This window comes from Homo sapiens, chromosome 20, assembly GCF_000001405.40.
Source record: "Homo sapiens chromosome 20, GRCh38.p14 Primary Assembly".
NCBI lineage: Eukaryota > Metazoa > Chordata > Mammalia > Primates > Hominidae > Homo > Homo sapiens.
The window spans coordinates 38,340,527-38,358,860 of record NC_000020.11 but is presented as its reverse complement, the minus strand read 5'-3'; the positions used below and the strand labels follow the sequence as shown (position 1 = coordinate 38,358,860).

Genomic DNA, 18,334 nt, shown 5'->3' with positions numbered 1-18,334 from the left:
AAAGTCCTCACTTTAAACAGCTCTTTTTGTTAGCCAGCTACCACCTCTTGTGCAATGAATCCACATGTACAGTGAAGGAGAGGGACATGCAGAGCCCTGGCCTAGTGCAGGGGTCACAGATGGCTTCTGTGCTGAAGGGTAAGCAGGCACCATCCATCAGACGCTGGGTTGCTGATGGAAGGGTGACGCTGGGGGCTGGGAGGGCAAAGGGCTGTATCTTAACCTCTCTTTGCAGCTGCTCCATTTTCTGGGAGAGGAGTTTAGCAGCGATGAGCTGCCAGAAAGCAAGGTCAAGTGTGGTGAGGAACATTCGTGGTTGATTGCAAGGGAACCAAGAAACTCCATCCATCTCCCTGAAGACCGCTCCTTTCTTGCCTTTCCTTCAGACAGTAGCCCATCAGACCATCCCAAAAGCCTGGAGCCTGGATGCCCCAGTCTTTAGGGACCCGAAGGACTGGGCAGGGGAGGCATGGGATGCCTGAGTTGCAGACACACAGCAGGGCCTCCTGAGGATGCGACTGGGGTAGTGGTTAGGGGTGCAGCAGGAAAGCCAGGTAAATTTGGATTCAAATCCTGCCCAGTCCCCAATGGCTGTTTGACCTTTGCAGAACCTCTCTCTGCTTTTTGGTTCTCACTCACAAGATACAATGGCAAGGCCAAGTGCTTCCCAGGGTGTTTTTGTCAGTGGTGTTATAACTAGAGTGACTTCATCTAGAACAGGGGCAAAATGAGGCTGAGACCTGCTGGGCTGCGTTCCCAGGAGGTTAGGCATTCTTAGTCACCAGATGAGCTAGGAGGTCAGCAGGACTGGTATCACAAGATACAGGTCATAAAGACCCTGCTGATAAAACAGGATGCGGTAAAGAAGCTGGCCAAACCAATCAAAACCAAGATGGCGATGAGAGTGCCCTCTGGTCATCCTCACTGCTCATTATATGTTAATTATAATACATTGGCATGCTAAAAGACATGACCACCAGTGCCAAGACAGTTTACAAATGCCATGGCAATTTCCAAGTTACCCTATATGGTCTAAAAGGGGAAGGAACCCTCAGTTCTGGGAAGTCCTCGCCCCTTTCCAGGAAAACTCATGAATAATCCACCCCTTTAGCACAGACTCAAGAAATAACCACAAGTATACGCGACTGAGCAGCCCATGTTGCTGCTTAGCCTGTGGAGTAGCCATTCTTTTCCGTCATTACTTCTCTAATAAACTTGCTTTCACTTTATGAACTCACCCCAAATTCTTTCTTGCGTGAGATCCAAGAACACTCTCTTGAGGTTCTGGATCAGGACCCCTTTCTGGTAATATTTTGGGAAGTTGGGGATAGAGATAGTGAGTATATATCGCCCAGAGAGCAAGCATTCGTGAGTGCTTATTCTTCTCCTTAGCCTTGCTGGTCCAGGTACCACATCCCACCCTGAGTGGGGAATTAGAAAGGCCTGCGTCAGGCTCTTAGTTTTTCTGGAAGATAATTCGAAGATCTCTAAGGATCAGGGGTCAGGTGAGATCTCCATCTTTCCCAAGACACCTAGCCCTAGAAGGGCTTTGGTACAAGCTGCTCCACATTCTAGGAAGCTCCAATCCTGATTCAGCCTCTCACCAGCAAGGTGACACTGGGAAAGCTACTCCACCCCTCAGCCTCCTCTGTCCATGTGGAAAATGGCACCTCCTTCCAAGGTCGAGGTTAAGATCCAATGGGACTGGCTGGGTGTGGTGGCTTACGCCTGTAATCTCAGCACTTTGGGACACTGAGGTGAGCAGATCATGAGGTCAGGAGTTCAAGACCAGCCTGGCCAATATGGTGAAACCCCGTCTCTACTAAAAATACAAAAAATTAACTGGGCATGGTGGCACGTGCCTGTGGTCTCATATACTCGGGAGGCTGAGGCAGAAGAATTGCTTGAACCTGGGAGGTGGAGGTTGCAGTGAGCCAAGGTCGCGCCACTGCACTCCAGCCTGGGCGACAGAGTGAGACTCTGTCTCAATTAAAAAAAAAGAGAGATCCAGAGGGACTGTGCACGTGAACTGCTGAGCCCATTATCCCTGGCCAAGCTACAGGCTCAAGAAATAGCAGCCATTTTTGTTATAAATCAGAATAGTTATACAATAATATATTCTGTACAGCATTAATTATATACATTTATCAAAACAATAATTATGGTATGTGATTACTGTGATAATTATAATTGTGCTACATTACTATTGTTATGCACAGCAATATGGCAACAGGGTGCCTGAGTAGATTGGCATATTTCTCAGGGTCACTTAATCCCAGGGACCCAGAACCAGAAAAGAAAGAGCACAGCTGGCCACACCCAAAATGCGGGGTTTGCCTGCTGTTCCTGTTTCAACCACGAGGGGGCACTCAAAGCCAAACCAGAGGTTGGACCTACAGACGAGGGTGTGTGTGTGTGTGTGTGTGTGTGTGTGTGTGTGCGCGTGTGTGTGGTGTGGGGGGTGTGAGTGGGTGGTGTGTTTGTGTGTGTGTGGAGGGTGTGTGTGGTGTGTGCATGTAGGGGGTGTGGGTGGTCTGTGGGTGGTGTGTTTTGTGTGTGTAGGGTGTGTGTGGTGTGTGTGTAGGGGGTGCGTGTGGTGTGTGTGGGTGCTGTCTGTGTGTAGGGTGTGTGTGTGGGGTGTGTGTGTTTGTGTGGGGTATGGTATGTGTGTGGGGTGTGTTTGTGTGGGGTGTGGTATGTGCGTGTGTGTGGGGGGTGCTTGTGTGTAGGATGTGTGTGTGGTGTGTGTGTGCTGGGAGGGAGTGTGTGTGGGGTGTGGTGTGTGTGTGTTTGTGTGTGTGTTTTTTTCCCTTTCCTCCTCCATCACTTTCTCCCTTCCCACAGTCATTGCTACAGATACCATTTGGCTAATATCTCAGAAACGGGATTTTGGGATGAATGAGTGTTTAGAGGAACTGAAAGTTAACACGACATCTTTTTGATTTAGTCAAAGATGATACACTCTGAAGATTTCACATACTCCTTTTTAACAGGCCAGTCTGACAGTGTTGCTGCCTCCCCATCCAGGGCTGGTGCTCATGAGCTCGCCCAGTTCCCACCTGGCCCACGCCCTCGCTGAGCTTTCCTGCCTGGTCTCTTGCAGGCGCCTGAGGAATGGTTTCCTTTCGGACCTTGGTGGAATGCAGGGCAGTGTGGGGCACTGAGCAAGGTGGAGCAGAGGGAGGGGCTGGAGTCTCTGTTTAGCCCCTGCTGTTTAACCCTTGGTCAAGCAGTTGACCATTTTCTGCCCAACCGAACGGACTTGGAGCTTTGTCCCCAGCGTGCCCCACAACAGCTCCATGACCTGGGCAAATGATTTGTCCTCCCTGGGCTTTGGGCCCAAGTACGTCTAAACCAGCCCCCATGGCCTGGTCCAGGGCCATTGGTCAGTGAGGTCTTCCATTCAGCCCTCGCCAAGCTCGGGGGAGGCCAGAGGCTTGGACCTTCTTACCCTGCTCTCCAGTACTTTCTGGAACTTGGACTCAATCTGGTTGTGGAAGAGGTTCAACAGCCACCTGGGGAGAGAAGCACAGTCTGCCACTGAACTTGGGGATGGCCGGGTGCCTGGGAAAGCCAGGCCCTGGTCCCTGGTCAGGCCAGTCCACAAAGGGAGCCCTCTCCACCCCTTCCCGGCGCCCTGCTGTGTCCCAGCACATCCAGCCTGATTCGGTGTGTCTGGCTTCCCAGTGCCTGCGGCACCCAATCGCATGATCACATTCAGCAGATTTGGGGAAGCGGCTTGAGAATCCACATTTTTCTTTTCTTTTGCGGGGGGGTGGGGGACAGGATCTCACCTTGTCACCCAGGCTGGAGTGCAGTGGCACAATCTCAGCTCACTGCAACCTCTGTCGCCTGGCCTGAAGCCATCCTCCCAACTCAGCCCCTGAAGTAGCTGAGACTACAGGCATGTGCCATCATGCCTGGCTAATTTTTGTATTTTTTTGTGGAGACAGGTTTTACCACGTTGCCCAGGCTGGTCTTGAACTCCTGAGCTCAAGCGATTTTCTGCCTTGGCGTCTCAAATTGTTAGGATTACAGGCGTGAGCCACCACACCCGGTCACACTTTTCTAATCAAGGAAACTGAGACTAGAAGAGATGAAATGACTTGTCCAAGGACTTGTATGTTTTTCGCAAACTCTCCTTCAACCAAAGTTTCTGTGTTCCTCCAAATAGCCAGATTTCATTCACCTGACAAGGGTCCCCTTGTCAGGTGAATGAAAGTTTATTTTTTTAATGAAAATGATGCACCAATATTCCTGGCTTAAGTCTGTTCATCTCAACAGGGTTCCCCAGAGAATGATCTTCAAGTGCCTGTGCAAGCCACCTGGATCATTGCAATTATCGGAGGCCAGGCTGAGCGCTGGATTGGCCGGGAGCTGCAACCAGGAGTCCAGCTGGCAGTGCCCCGATGGAGACCTACCCCAAGTCTCCCGACATGTCCACCTCCACGTCAGCGATGTCACTGCTGCAGCTGGAGGCAGTAACTGTGGGCCTCCCGGAGGACTCGCTGCCCAACAGGAGGTTGACCGAAATGCTGATGCCCTTGACACTGACATCAAAGGAGCCCTGTAGTTTGCTGGAGGAGGTAAGAGAAGCCATGGTTAGTTCCTAGACCAGGGGTCTGCCACCATTTGTGGGGAAAATAGAAGGCTCAGTTCTGACCTCCAAATACATGGAGCTGAGCAGAGATTTAAGAATAACAAATAAAGCCATAAAAGATCTAGAAGAAAGCCCAGATCCAGTATTTCCAGGCAGGGCTGGATGAAGGCCTTTCTAGGCAATATCCAAGTCTCATAAGCCATAAAGGAAATCCTTGATAAACTTGTCGGCATAGAAAATTAAAACTTCAGTGGACAAAAAAAATGCCATATGTAAAGTAAAAAAAAAATTGCAGTATGAGACATCTAAAGAGCCAATTTCCTTAATATATGGGCTTATTTCCCTAATATACAAAGAACAAGCCAATATAAATTAACAAGGAAAGAAAGAACAACTCAAAAGAAAAAAAAAGATATGAACAGGAAATGCAGTACAAAATAAGCATGTAAAAGTCATTAAAAATGAAAATAACAATGACACCAGTTCTCGCCTATCAGATTCAAAAAAAACTTTTGAAGTTTTAGTACTCAATGCTATTGAATGTACGAGTAAACAGAAGTCCCAGACACTGTGGCTGGGAGAGTGCACATTGGCACAAGCTTTCTGAAACACAAATCAGTGAGATCTCTCCTCGTTCTAACATACATACTCTTTGGCCCAGTAATTTAACTTCTAAGCCTTTATCCCGTAGCTCTTCCTGCCAAGATATACGCGTGGTGTGGGGCAGCTCACTGAAGCATCATAGGCAGTAGCAAAAAAAAAAAAAAAAAAAAAAAAAAAAGGAAGCAGCCTACATGTCCGCTAGCAGCGACAGGTTGAATAAGCTGTGGGCACCCAATGTTATGCAGCCTTTGAGAACAATGGGGCAAAATGTGGTCTATTCCAGGAGTCTCCAACCCCAGTGGTGGTTGTCTGGAGCTGGGGGAAGGGAAATGGGGAATGATTGTTTAATGGGTAAGGAATTTTCTCTTGGGATGATGAAAATGTTTTGGAGTCAGATAGGGGTGGACATGGCACAAAATTGTGAATGTACTACATGCCACTGAATGTATACTTTCAAATAATCAATTTTATGTTCCGTGAATTTCCTATCAATTTTTAAAAGCACATTCAAAAAAGTGAAAAAAAATGAGGTAGATAGTCATATGCCCATAGAAAGAGATATTTAAGATACTTCAGTGACAAAAGCCAGGGTAAGAGAGTGTGGCCAGTTCCTTTCATGGAACTAGAACAAATGTGCATATGTAGGTAACATATAAACCAGCCGTCTTTCTAAAGCAATAGAATGAGAGCCACACATGTAATTTTAAATTTTCCAGAAGATACATTAAAAAGATAAAAAGAAAGAGCTGAAATTAATTTTAGTAATACATAGTATGATTTCAACATGTAATCAATATAAAAAATATTAATGAGATTTATTTATTTATAATAAATAATTTTAAAAATTAGCCAGGTGTGGTGGCTAATTTATTTTATTTAATTAACTAATTAATTAATTATTTTGAGATAGGGTCTCACTCTCTTGCCCAGACTGGAGTGCAGTGGCGTGATCTTGGCTCACCGCAACCTCCGCCTCCCAGGCTACAGCGGTTCTCCTGTCTCATCCTCCTAAGTAGCTGAGATTACAGGCATGCGCCACTACGCCCAGCTAATTTTTGTATTTTTAGTAGAGATGGGGTTTCACCATGTTGACCAAGCTGGTCTTGAACTCCTGACCTCAAATGATCCACCTGCCTCAGCCTCCCAAAGTGCTGGGATTACAGGCATGAGCCACCGTGCTCAGCTGCTGTTTTTTTGTTTGTTTGTTTGTTTTTTAATCCTAAATCTTCAAATCCAGTGTTGCATACTTAGAGTAGATCTCAACTTGTACCAGGCACTTTTCAAGTACTCAGTAAAGGCATGGCTGGTGGCTTCTATTTTAGGCAGTGCAGGTCTGAAGTATAAATATGGTCATATCACCCATATTTGGGCTGTTCCTTCTGCTATGGGCTGCTCTGTGTCACCACCTGCCTCCCAAATTCAGATGTTGAAGCTCTGATCCCCAGTACCTGAGAATGTCACAGTATTGGAGATAGGCCCTTTGAAGAGGTGATTACATTTAAATGAGGCCATTAGGGTGGGCCCTAATCCAATGTGACTAGTGTCTTTATAAAAAGAGATTAGGACATACAGAGAGAAACGGGGTTTCTTTCCTTTCTTTTTTCTTTTTTTTTTTTTTTAGAGATGGAGTCTCGCTCTGTCCCCCAGGCTGGAGTACAGTGGCATGATCTCAGCTCTGTGCAACCTCTGCCTCCAGGGTTCAAACGATTCTTCTGTCTAGCCTCCTGAGTAGTTGAGATTACAGGTACCTGCCACCACACCTGGCTAATTTTTAAATTTTTAATTTATTTTTCATTTTTAGTAGAGACTGATTTTTGCCATGTTGGCCAGGCTGGTCTTGAACTCCTGACCTCAAGTGATCTTCCCGCCTCAGCCTCCCAAAGTGCTGGGATTACAGGGGTGAGCCAACGTGCATGGCCTCAGAAATGGGATTTCTTGAGCACAGAGGAAAGACCACGTGAGGACATTGCCAAAGGGCAGCCATCTGCAAGCCAAAGAGAGTGGCCTCAGAAGAAACCAGGCCTGCCAAAACCTTGACCTTGGCCCTCAGCCTCCAGAACTGTGAGAAAACACATTTCTGCTTAAGCCACCCAGTCTATGCTTGTTATGGCAGCCCTAGCACATGAATACCCCTTCCATCCAAGTGCCTCTGAGGTCAGAGAACTGTTCAAAGTGCCTGAGAGCCAGAGCCCCTGGAAGCAGCCCTTGGCCAATGGCAAGCAGGAGGACGGGGTGACAGCGTGGGGCTGGAGTAACTCAGAGGCGTGTTCTCCGCTGTCCCTGAGTTCCCCAGCTAGACAGAGCTTCACTTGCCCACCAGGCTGACTTCCTTCCCTTCCCTTCCCTTCCTCACTTCCCCACTCCCCTGTGGGTTTCCTCAGATCGCTTCCAAGATAAAGTATTGCACTGGAATTCTTGCCCTAAAGTCTGCTTCTGTGGGAAGCAAACCAAGGAGACATGATATTACCGCACTTAGCCCTCCCATGACTCCATCAAGGAAGCAGGCCCGTCCCCTTTGGGAGATGAGGAAGTAGAGACTCAGAGACAGAAAGACACTCATCCAAGAGCCAGGACTCAATCCCCAGGCCACCTCCGGGCTTGGACTCCATCTGTCCATCACGTGGCCTTTCTGATAAGCTAGGAACACCTTGGACCTAAGAAGGATGGGGCGAAGGCCAAGGCCAAGAGCTCCAGGGCCTGGGAGCAGAGCCAACTTACAAGAATGACTTGCGCACCTTCCACCTGCCCTGGACCCGGATGGAGGAGTCGGAGATGCTGAGACTCAGGCCCTGGCCAGGGACAGGCCTCAGCGCAGAGTGAAGCAGCTCACAGCTGTGGATGTTCAGGCTGAAGGGAGAGACATGGAAGGAGGTGTCAGCCCTGGGCCTGGACCCAGCCTCACCAGGGACCTTGCGCCTCCCCTCTCCACAGTGGGGACTAGACCAGCAGGATCTGCTCCAGGTAAGCACCTGCTGTGCCCCAGGCATCGATCTTATGACCATGCTAAGCACGTTACTTTCTTCATGCCATATGGGCCACACTGAAGGGGTCAGCAGTGTTCTTGCTCCCTTTCCACAAAGGGGGAAATAGAACCTTGAGGAAGGGATGCAATTGCTCACGGTTTTGCAGTCTGCATCAGAACCCATGAATCTAATGACCCCCGGTGGCATCCTGAGAAGGTCCGTAGACATATCCCTTTGGGTTTGCAGTTCCTGCTAACCCTCCTCTCTCTCAATACATCCAGGTAGGGGGGAAACAGATTCAGGGAAGATGGTGGCAGCCTTAAGATAAGACCCCAAAAAAGTCAGCAAGGTTGTCACAGTGGGAAAAGAACGGTCAAGTTCTATTTTATTTGCCGGGCACATAGTAGGTGCCCAATAGATTTTTGCTGATGGACTGAATAAAAGAAGGCAGGAATGAAGGAAACGCCCAACAGCAGTGAGCAGGGAGGGGTACAATGTGCTACGAGTCTGATTGTCGTTTCTTCACTGCCCATCCCTCAAAAAGCAGTTCACGCTCTTTTAAAGCATCAGCTGCTCAAGTCTAGTAATCTTTTGAAGACTTGGCTCAAATGCCACCTTCTCCTGGAAGCCTTCCCTGACTCCCCCAAGTACAAACTTCAGCTCTAACCGTTGGGCTACTACATTTAAAGTGTAAGGTCTATCTTCTCTTCCAAACTATATCTAGTGGCCAGATTGGATCTTGGATGAGCACTCTGAAGGAGGAAGTAGATCAACTCCATTTTACAGATAAGGAAATCAAGGCTCAGATCACACAGCCAGTAGGTCTTCCTTAATATTTGCTGCGTGACTGAGTGGAGGAGCTCAATTCCTTCCCAGAATTTCCTTCTGAGCTCTTCAGGGAACTATCCCACTGTCTGCCCCGGAGAGGTCCCCCCACAGCCCAATCCTGAGGCTCTCTCTTCCTCACTCTCCAATTCCCCCTGACAGCCAGCTCCAGCCACTTCAGAGCCGCAGCAGAAGGGAGAGCCCCACCTGTGGAACTCATAGCGCCCACGGCCGACGTGGGGGATCCTCAAGTCCCCGGTGAAGTCAGGCAGCGTGATCCTGAGCAGCTCACTCTGCAGAGCTAATAGCCCCTCCTGGGCCGCTGTGGAAAGGAAATAGCTGGGAGTCAGCTTGATCTGCCTGCCTCCTCCCCTGCTCTAAACCCTACGGTGGCTCCCACCTGTCCTCAAGAGAGGGGCCAACATCCTTATTAGCATTAAGTACAATGACAGGATATGAGCCCCTCTGTGTGCCAGGTAGCATGAGGGACATTCAGAGGTGTCCCTGCATTTCTGTGGCATTGTTAGGTTCATGCCCATTTTACTGATGAGGAAATGGAATGCCTTTGCCAACAAATCCCCAAGGGCAAAAGTGCTGTGCGCTTGGACGGATAGTCCTCCTTCTTGTTCTCCATGACATCTGGCCTGTGTAGAAGAAACTGGAAGGATCTGGGGGCTAGAGAAAGAGGGCATCTTTCTAGCTGGGTGACTTTGACAAAGTCCCCAAACAACCTTCACTTTGTTCATCTGTCAAATAGCAATGACAACAATACATTTGCTGGGCGTGGTGGCTCACGCCTGTAATCCCAGCACTTTGGGAGGCCGAGGAGGGCAGATCACCTGAGGTCAGGAGTTCGAGACCAGCCTGGCCAATATGGTGAAACTTCATCTCTGCTAAAAAATACAAAAATTAGCCGGGCATGGTGGCAGGCACCTGTAGTCTCAGCTACTCAGGAGGCTGAGGCAGGAGAATCACTTGAACCCGGGAGGCAGAGATTGCAGTGAGCCGAGATCGCACTACCGCACTCTAGCCTGGGCGACAGAGTGAGACTCTGTCTCAAACAAAACAAAACAAAACAAAACTAAACTAAACTAAACTAAACTAAACTAAACTAAACTAAACTTTCCTCATTGGCATGCCATTGAAACTGCAAAGCAAGAAGGGGGCTGTGAGGATAACAAGCACTCCTAGCTTGGTGCCTGACACACAGCAGGCACTCAGTAAATGCCTGGAACAGCAAATAGGGTTTATATTATTAAAAATATGGAAAGGGGTCGGGCGCAGTGGCTCACGCCTGTAATCCCAGCACTTTGGGAGGCCGAGGCGGGTGGATCATCGAGACCATCCTGGCCAACATAGTGAAATCCTGTCTCTACTAAAAATACAAAAATTAGCTGGGCGTGGTAGCATGTGCCTGTAATCCCAGCTACTCGGGAGGCTGAGGCAGGAGAATCACTTGAACCAGGGAGTCGGAGGTTGCAGTGAGCTGAGATTGTGCCATTGCACTCCAGCCTGGCAACAGAGTGAGACTCCGTTTCAAAAAAAAAAAAAATATGGAAAGGACCAAAATGTCCAACCTCAGAGGACTGGTTACATAAACATGGTGTGTGTGCACAGTGCAAAGGAACAAAAGAGAAACTTCCCTGATTTACAGTTTCAATGCAAGTAGCAGTTACCAGGTCCCACTGTTCCGAGATCTGAGGGGCCCAGGTTTCTGTCCCCAAGGCAGACATGGGTACACAGATGACCAGCAGCCTCCCCTTTCACCTCTTTCCAATTTGCTCTTCTCCCTCTAGCAAACGCACATGTTGGGGTCCTTCCGCCTGGAACGCTACCCCTTGTCCCTGGGTAATTCCCACTGTCTTTTCCATTTTACTATATCCTGGAATCCTTCCCTGATTTCCCTCTGCCTGTCTCGAGCCAGTCTGGGCTCCCAACAACCCTATCTAAGGGAATGTTGTTATCTCATTTAATAGGTAAGGCAATTGAGGCTCTAGGGATGTGAGAAGACATGTGGTCAGTGCCTGTCCATATCCTTGAGTCTTTCCAGTGAGTGACAGTTGACTCCCAGCTGCCAATGTCTGCCTCCCTGAGCCTGTATGTCCCGAGGCTTTTTGTCCTGGAACTGCAGAAAGCAGGTACATGCAACAGGACAGAAGTGCTGGGGAGTTGACAAACCCCCGGCCCAGAAGCCCTCAATCAATCACTGTGGTGTATAAATATCCCAGTTCCCATGCCACCTGGATAGTCGGGAGGCTTTGTTTCAGTATTTAAAAAAAAATACTCCTACTTTTGCTCATTCTTTGTTTTATTTTTATTTATTTTTTTGAGACAGTCTCCCTCTGTTGCCCAGGCTGCAATGCAGCAGCATGATCTCGGCTCACTGCAACCTCTGCCTCCCGGGTTCAAGCGATTCTCCTGCCTCAGCCTCCCAAGTAGCTGGGATTACAGTTGGCTGCCACCAAGACTGGCTAATTTTTGTATTTTTAGGAGAGGCGAGGCTTCACCATGTTGGCCAGGCTTGCCTCGAACTCCTGGCCTGAAGCTATCCACCCACCTCGGCCTCCCAAAGTGCTGGGATTACAGGCGTGAGCCACTGTGCCTGGCCTGCCCATTCTTTAAAATTGAGGAATAATATACATAAAGTACCTAACGGGCACAAATTTTAAAGGTATTGCTAAATAATTTTTAATGTTTATACAGGAATGTGATCACCACCTGGATCAAGATATGGCAACTTCCAGCACCCCGGCAGACCTCCCTCATGCCCTTCAGGGTCTCTGCCTGCCTCTAGAGGTGACCACAATTCTGACTTCCAGTTCAGAGGCATGTGTTTCCAAACTTTACGCAGAATTTTCCCAGCTGAGTGGTTCCCATCATCAGAGGTGGTGGCTGGTTTAATTGCACACTCTCTCCTGGCTGCCCTCCCTTCCTCATCTCAGTACCGATTCCCTACAGTGTTTCCTGGAATCATTTCCCAAATCAACTACTTGCACGCAAAGCTGTGTTCTGTTGGCTGGTGGAGGACCTCACTACCACAAATAACATGCCCAGGGCACTCAGCTGGTGGGCAGTAAGGCCAGAATAGGAGCCAGAGCCACCTGACCCAGAAGGTGGCACTGCCCCAGGGAGAGGGTCCGGTCTGTGTCCCCACTCCCTGTCCCCACTGTACCCAGAGCAGCCTGGAGCGTGGGTTTGCCAAGTCCAGCCAGCAGATGTGGCTTCTTACCATACTGCAGTCCCTTGTCGGTGATCCTGGCGACCAAGCCGGGGTTGGCACCCAGAGCCTCTGGGGTGGACGTAAGCAGCAATGCCAGCAGTATGGACGGCAGGGCTCTGGCCAAGGCCCCCATCCTAGATTCCCAGTGCAGTGGGCCAGGACTGTCCCAGCTGTGGATTGGGCCCAGGTCCCTTAAGTAGCCAAGGCTCGATGGCTGGGGGCAGTTCCTGAGGCTGGATGGGTTCCTGGGAGCGGGAAGGGGAGGCACAGGGACTGGAACCTGCTTGCGACATCACTGAAGTCATAAGGTCATACTTAGAAGCCAGTTTTCACTGCCCAGATCAGTGGATGAGGAAGCCTGACTCCTATGATCATCCCTGTCCACCCTCCCCACAGAAAGACCCCATATTCATCACTGTTCATCTTGCCTCATCTCAGCCAGTCTCTTAAGAGCTCGGCTAGGAAGGCCTGGTTTAGCAGATGAGGAAACTGAGGTTCAAAAAAGCCACATAGCTCCCTTGAGATCTCACCCCCAGCAGAGGGCAGGGTTGAGAGTGAAGCTACATCTGGCACCAACCAAACTCTCTTTTTTAAAATATATTGGCTCGTTTATTTAAAAAATAAATGTTTCCCCCAATGGGAAAACAGTGTTTCTCAAACCTTGCTGGTGGTGAAATTTTCTGGAAGGCAATTGGCAAATGTTTAAACAGTTGCATGCCCTGTGACCCAGGAATTCAATTTCAGGGACTTGCCCTTAAATACATAATTGAGTCAGTGTGCCAGTAAATCACTGCTCCAAGATACCACTGCTATGCTGTGGGAAACAGGACAGGAGAAGTGAGACCCAACCTCATGTATCCACCAGAAGGGCATTGGTTAAATGAATTATGACATGCCCCTTAAAGTGAGGCTGCAGAAATAAAGGTATTTCTTGGCAAGGAAAGGGATGTCATGAGGCATCCGTTTCCGATGGCACCATAGAGTAAGGTTCTATTTTGGGGGGTTCAAAATAGGCTTCTATGTTCAACAATCTGGAAAATATTTAGCAAGGAGTCATGAGGCATTGTCTCTGGTTGTGGGGGTAGAATTATAAGTGTTAAAAAAGTTTTTGCTTGTTGATACGTACAATTTTTTTTTCTTTTTTCATTTTTTGAGACAAAGTCTACTCTGTTGCTCAAGCAGGAGTCCAGTGGCATGAACATCGCTCGCTGCAACCTCAACTTCCTGGGCTCAAGTGATCCTCCCACCACAGCCCCCTAAGTAGCTGGGACTACAGGTGTGAGCCACCATGTCCAGCTAATTTTTTGTATTTTAGTAGGGACGAGGTCTTGCTATGTTGCCCAGGCTGGTGTCGAACTCCTGAGCTCAAGTAAGCCTCCCGCTTGGCCTTCCAAAATACTGGGATTATAGACTTGGGCCACCATGCCCAGCCTCTAAAATTTTTATTTTCTTGGGGGTATGGTCCCGGGCATATATTCGCAGTAAGTAAAGATAGTAAAATTTCATTCTGGAAAACAAAATTTATAGTACAGACTGTGTTTAATTTTTAGAGTTTTGCCCCAGCCCTGCTTACATTTGTGAGTTCTGCTTTGCCCTCACCCCCAGGAAGCCTTCCCTGACCACTCCCATGCTTCTCTGGATTCTAGAAAGGGTCCCCTCTGAGGTCCCAGAACCCTTTGCGCTTTCCCCACCACAGCATTAACCACTCTGCTTTTTGATAATTGTGGTCCTTTAAAAATATGCCCACGAATTCTTTGATATTCCTTCCATCAAAAGGTAATGTTTCTGCCCCCTTCCCTTGAAATTGGGCAGGTTTTCATGATGGCCTCAACCAACTGAATGTGGTGGGATTAACAGGGTGACTCCCAATAGGTCACAAACAGCACTGGCAGGCACTGAGGTTAAGATCAGAATGTCCCACGTTAAGCACAGGGAACCCCACAGTCCAGGCCTCTCTGCTCCTCTGTACCGTGTTGCTCCTGTCACTGGGGCTGAGGTTTGTTGGGATCCTCATCCGTCCCTCCCCTCAGTCCCCACACCACCAGTCTGATGGCTCCTTGCAGGCACGGCTGAGTCTTCCATTTCCTGAGATCCTTGCAGCACCCAGCAGAAATTGGAAAGAAACTGATATTTATTGAGCACCTACTATGTGCAGGCGCTGTGCTGGTTAAGCTGCACGTCTCCTCTCATCCTTGCATCAGCAACCCCAGGTGGATATTTTAGTCTTGTCTTGAGATGAAGAAACTGAGGTTTGGCAGGGTGAAGTGATGTAGGCTGCAGTCACCCAGCAGGAATTTAAGTCCAGGTCTGCAGGATGCCATTCCAAAACTCTGGTCAGGGCAGGGTTCTCTTGGGAGGCAACAAGCTGAGCAGAGGCCTCAGGGTAAGGAGCCAGCCTTTGGGAGGCTTTGGAGCAGGAAAGGGCTCACAGGTGCATCCCCAGTGTGCCTAGGGGCCTTTGCTTCCTGGACCTCAGCCTGCCCAGGAGGGGAGGAGAGTGGGGGAGGACATTCTGGAGCATAAGGATCTTATGGGGACATAGATGTCACTCTTCCTCTGGCAGCAGTTTAAGGATGTCCCTGGCTGGGAGTCATTTGCAGGGGTGGGAATTTCCCACAGCAGCAATCTTTGGACCTTAGAGCTGCCACATGGCCCAGGCCTGGCCTCCACCCCTGCAGGTGCCCACTGCTGGCTAAGGTCCCTGCTGATGGCCCAGGACCCAGCAGAGGCCTCAGGGAGCAGCACGACCCCACTGCTGGTCAGAACCCCTGGGCCTTTCTCCTACCAGGCTGTCCATCCAATTCCACAAAAGCAACAGCTGCTACCACTCTGGCCACCACTCAGTCTTATTGCAGTGAAATAGGGACTCTTTTAACAAGGCTGTTTATTGTGTTCTTGTGCAGGAGAGGGCCCCCAGAAATGGCAGTGCATCAAATGATGGACAGGCGATCATAAAACTGTCCCTCTGACATGATAAGTGGCCACGAATGGCGCCAAGAGGGAGAGGAGTTCCCTAACAGATAGTTGACATCATCTGGAGCCAGCAAACCACAATTCCCTGGTAAGGTCGAGCAGAAGGGCAAATGTTGGAGTCTGACTTGTATATGACCTTTTTCTTGCGGCGACGGACCAGTAAGGGAAAATCACCCCAAGTGAGCATGCGCACAACCTTAGTAAACACACTGCGCATGCGGCCCCTCCCAAGTGCTGGCAGGCCATTGCGCATGCAGGGAGGGCGCAGCAGCCCACCGAAGGGAGGAATCAAGGAGGAGAAGAAACCCCAGAACCAAGCCAGTGTATAAAAGCCCCGAGCCAAAGGTTGAGCGGGGCACTTGATCTCTCAGTTGTACTTTGCTTCTTTCAATAAACCTTTGCCTCTGCTTTAAAACTTGCCTGCGTCTCTCAATTGAATTCTTTCCTCTGAGAAGACAAGGGCTGGGAGTGTTGCGGACTCGCCACCGATAATATTCTCACTACAAAAGTGTTACTGAAAAGATTTTGAAAAACCCAGAATTTGGAATCCATAGTGTCTAGAATACTGAGCAGCAAATAGTAGATAATTGCCAAAGGAATAAACAAACCTTATGTTTATCTTTATGGACTCTGGGGCCAGATGGCCTGGATTTGAATCCTGACTCCCCCACGGGGTGACTTTGGGCACTTTGTGACTCAGTTTCCTCATCTCTACTTGGGTTCAGCCAGAGGGTGGCATGGCAGGAGGTCAGATGTCAGGGCACTTTTCCCTGCTGTCTTCTCTAGATCACAAGTGTGGCAGTTGGCTGTGTCCCTCCTGATAAGGCCTTGTCCTTGGCTCCTATTATCTCCTTGGGCTGGGATACCCAGATGCTTTTCTTTGCTGCTTGAGCCTTAGGAAAAACAGTCCCTGGTTGGTTTCCTCAAGCTTGTCCCCCAACTCTAGAAATAGCCACTTTATTCAAATCCCAAGAACCAATGCAGTTGGATTCTCTTTTCTTGCCTGAACCCTGTTGGACACAATTAGCAACACTGAGCATTTCTTCTGCACTTATTCATCTTTTGTGCAAACGCCTGCCTCTCGCAGAGAGCTTTGAATCCTTTTCCAAAGTCTTACAGGTTTTTTGTCAAGGCCCTGCTCCTAATGGGCTGGGGGACCTGGAACAAACTCCACCCCTCTCTGTTCCTCATGTTTCCCCCAAATGCAGATGAGGGCTGGGGACTAGGACAGCTTTTCAGAAACAAAGACGTGCAGTCAAGTCCCCCAGGGATCTTGTTTAGATGCAAATCTTGATCCATCATGTTCCTCTTGGGGCTGAGCCTCTGCATTTTAACAAGCTCCCTGGTGAGGGTGATGCTGCTGACCACGGATTGTGCTTGGAGCTTCGGGAACAAGGGACTAAATGAGCTCCGAGTTCCCTCCAAGCTCAGCAGTTCTCTAATGCTTCACTCTCCTTTTCGATAGTTTTCTATGACGGTGCCCACACTCCTGAGAACACTGACTCTTGAAAGAGAATGATGTTATGAATTCCTGCAGTTCTGAATCTCTGCAGGGTACTTTGGAGTTGGGAGTTTAATATTTATGGCAGCCTCTCCCCAAGCCACATCACCTGCAGATCTGAATGTGTGCCTGTGTACGCACACGCACAGACACACACACATGAGCCCTGAGACATGCGGGCTTACAAAATAAAAGTAGTAACGTCAGTGACGATCCTTTGTGGCTTGAAGGTTGCGTGTCTTGAGATACCAGGAGCCCCCATGGAGCAGGGCTGGTCATGTGGATAAACAGCTCCTCACCCCAGAGAGCCCTTACTTTTACAGATGGGGAAACTGAGACCTAGAGAGGGAGAACTGGCCCAGGTTACACTGTGAGCCTATTGCTGAACTGGAGAGGATAAATCCAGAGTTCTGGCCAGCCAGGGGCTCTGATTCTTGGGGTCAGGCCCATTCAGGCAGACAGCCCTGGATCATACATTGAGAATCACTGGCATAAATGTTTTGAGTTATGCAGATGTGGGTTGAAATCCCAGATCATTTTTAAAATAAATACTTACTGATCACCAACTATGTGGCAGGCATTGGGAATACTACTGTAGCCAGATATAGTATTTTTTTTGTTTTTTTTTTTTTGAGACAGAGTCTCACTCCATCACCCAGGCTGGATGGAGTGCAGTGGTGTGATCTCAGCACACTGCAACCTCCGCCTTCTGGGTTCAAATGATACTCGTGCGTCAGCCTCCTGAGTAGCTGGGACTACAGGTGTGTGCCACCACGCCCGGCTAATTTTTGTGTTTTTAGTGGAGACTGGGTTTCGCCATGTTGCCCAGGCTGGTCTCGAACTCCTGGGCTCAAGTGATCCACCTGCCTCAGACTTCCAAAGTGCTGGGATTACAGGTCGTGAGCCACTGCACCTGGTCAGATATAGTCTTTACAGTATAGTAAGAAGAACTGCGTTTATTCAAATTAGAGCAAACTTGGATTACTGTTGTCAACCCCTGTACCACGGATTTGACATGTATTTGATTCTCATAACAACTTTATGAGGTAGGTACTATAATGATGTTCCCTTTATAGATGAGAAATAGAAAACCTGAGAATTAAGTATACTGCCCAAAGTCACACAGCTGGTAAATAGCAGACGTGGGATTTAAACCCAAGATATCTGGGATCATGGTTCATACTCTTAACCACTGTGCCATGACCCTATCAATCATACCTCTGATTCTTCCCAATAACCTCATGCCGAGAGGGCAAGATTTTAACTCTCCTTTTCAAAGGAGGAAATAGAGGGCCAGAGAGGTTAAGGAACATTTGCAAAGTCACACAGCTCTTGAGGGGGCCGGATTTATGTTTGAAACCACCGCCAGGTGACTCCAGAGCCCAGGCTCTGAACAGTTAGCTTAGCAGGCCACACGACTTTTCTAGAGACTCCTCATCTGAAAAACAAGGGCAACCTTGGCTACCTTTAGCGGTTGTCATGAGGATTAAATAGGATCATAAGCCTGAAGAGATAGACCCAGGGACAGGGCTGCTCATGGCCACTAGCGGGACATGGCAAAATGATGAAGACAGTGCTTAGTCTTCCTGTGCCCCTCCCCACCTTCTCTCCTTGCAGAGGGTACTCCTCCCTCATATTTATTTAATAAG

At 48.8% G+C, this 18,334-nt stretch overlaps 1 protein-coding gene across 1 annotated transcript in view, besides 5 other annotated features; it reads right to left on the bottom strand.

Moving 5' to 3' along the window:
• Positions 1–12,379, bottom strand: part of LBP (lipopolysaccharide binding protein) — a 30,532-nt gene extending 18,153 nt beyond the window's left edge. The window contains exons 1-5 of the mRNA NM_004139.5: positions 12,221–12,379; positions 9,199–9,313; positions 7,922–8,050; positions 4,422–4,577; positions 3,452–3,515 (exon numbers count right to left, since the gene is read on the bottom strand). Coding sequence (NP_004130.2) covers positions 3,452–3,515; positions 4,422–4,577; positions 7,922–8,050; positions 9,199–9,313; positions 12,221–12,344 — 588 coding nt within the window. The 5' untranslated portion in view covers positions 12,345–12,379. The remainder of the gene's footprint in view (positions 1–3,451; positions 3,516–4,421; positions 4,578–7,921; positions 8,051–9,198; positions 9,314–12,220) is intronic.
• Positions 237–738: an enhancer, noted in NCBI's record as "H3K27ac hESC enhancer chr20:36986777-36987278 (GRCh37/hg19 assembly coordinates)". NCBI's record gives its function as "activates a minimal SCP1, AML or CMV promoter by ChIP-STARR-seq in naive H9 embryonic stem cells {active_cell/tissue: H9 hESC(naive)}" and the evidence as "EXISTENCE:reporter gene assay evidence [ECO:0000049][PMID:30033119]".
• Positions 3,829–4,388: an enhancer, noted in NCBI's record as "H3K27ac-H3K4me1 hESC enhancer chr20:36982873-36983432 (GRCh37/hg19 assembly coordinates)". NCBI's record gives its function as "activates a minimal SCP1, AML or CMV promoter by ChIP-STARR-seq in primed H9 embryonic stem cells {active_cell/tissue: H9 hESC(primed)}" and the evidence as "EXISTENCE:reporter gene assay evidence [ECO:0000049][PMID:30033119]".
• Positions 4,389–4,949: an enhancer, noted in NCBI's record as "H3K4me1 hESC enhancer chr20:36982312-36982872 (GRCh37/hg19 assembly coordinates)". NCBI's record gives its function as "activates a minimal SCP1, AML or CMV promoter by ChIP-STARR-seq in primed H9 embryonic stem cells {active_cell/tissue: H9 hESC(primed)}" and the evidence as "EXISTENCE:reporter gene assay evidence [ECO:0000049][PMID:30033119]".
• Positions 14,326–15,103: an enhancer, noted in NCBI's record as "H3K27ac-H3K4me1 hESC enhancer chr20:36972161-36972938 (GRCh37/hg19 assembly coordinates)". NCBI's record gives its function as "activates a minimal SCP1, AML or CMV promoter by ChIP-STARR-seq in primed H9 embryonic stem cells {active_cell/tissue: H9 hESC(primed)}" and the evidence as "EXISTENCE:reporter gene assay evidence [ECO:0000049][PMID:30033119]".
• Positions 15,884–16,660: an enhancer, noted in NCBI's record as "OCT4-NANOG-H3K27ac-H3K4me1 hESC enhancer chr20:36970603-36971380 (GRCh37/hg19 assembly coordinates)". NCBI's record gives its function as "activates a minimal SCP1, AML or CMV promoter by ChIP-STARR-seq in primed H9 embryonic stem cells {active_cell/tissue: H9 hESC(primed)}" and the evidence as "EXISTENCE:reporter gene assay evidence [ECO:0000049][PMID:30033119]".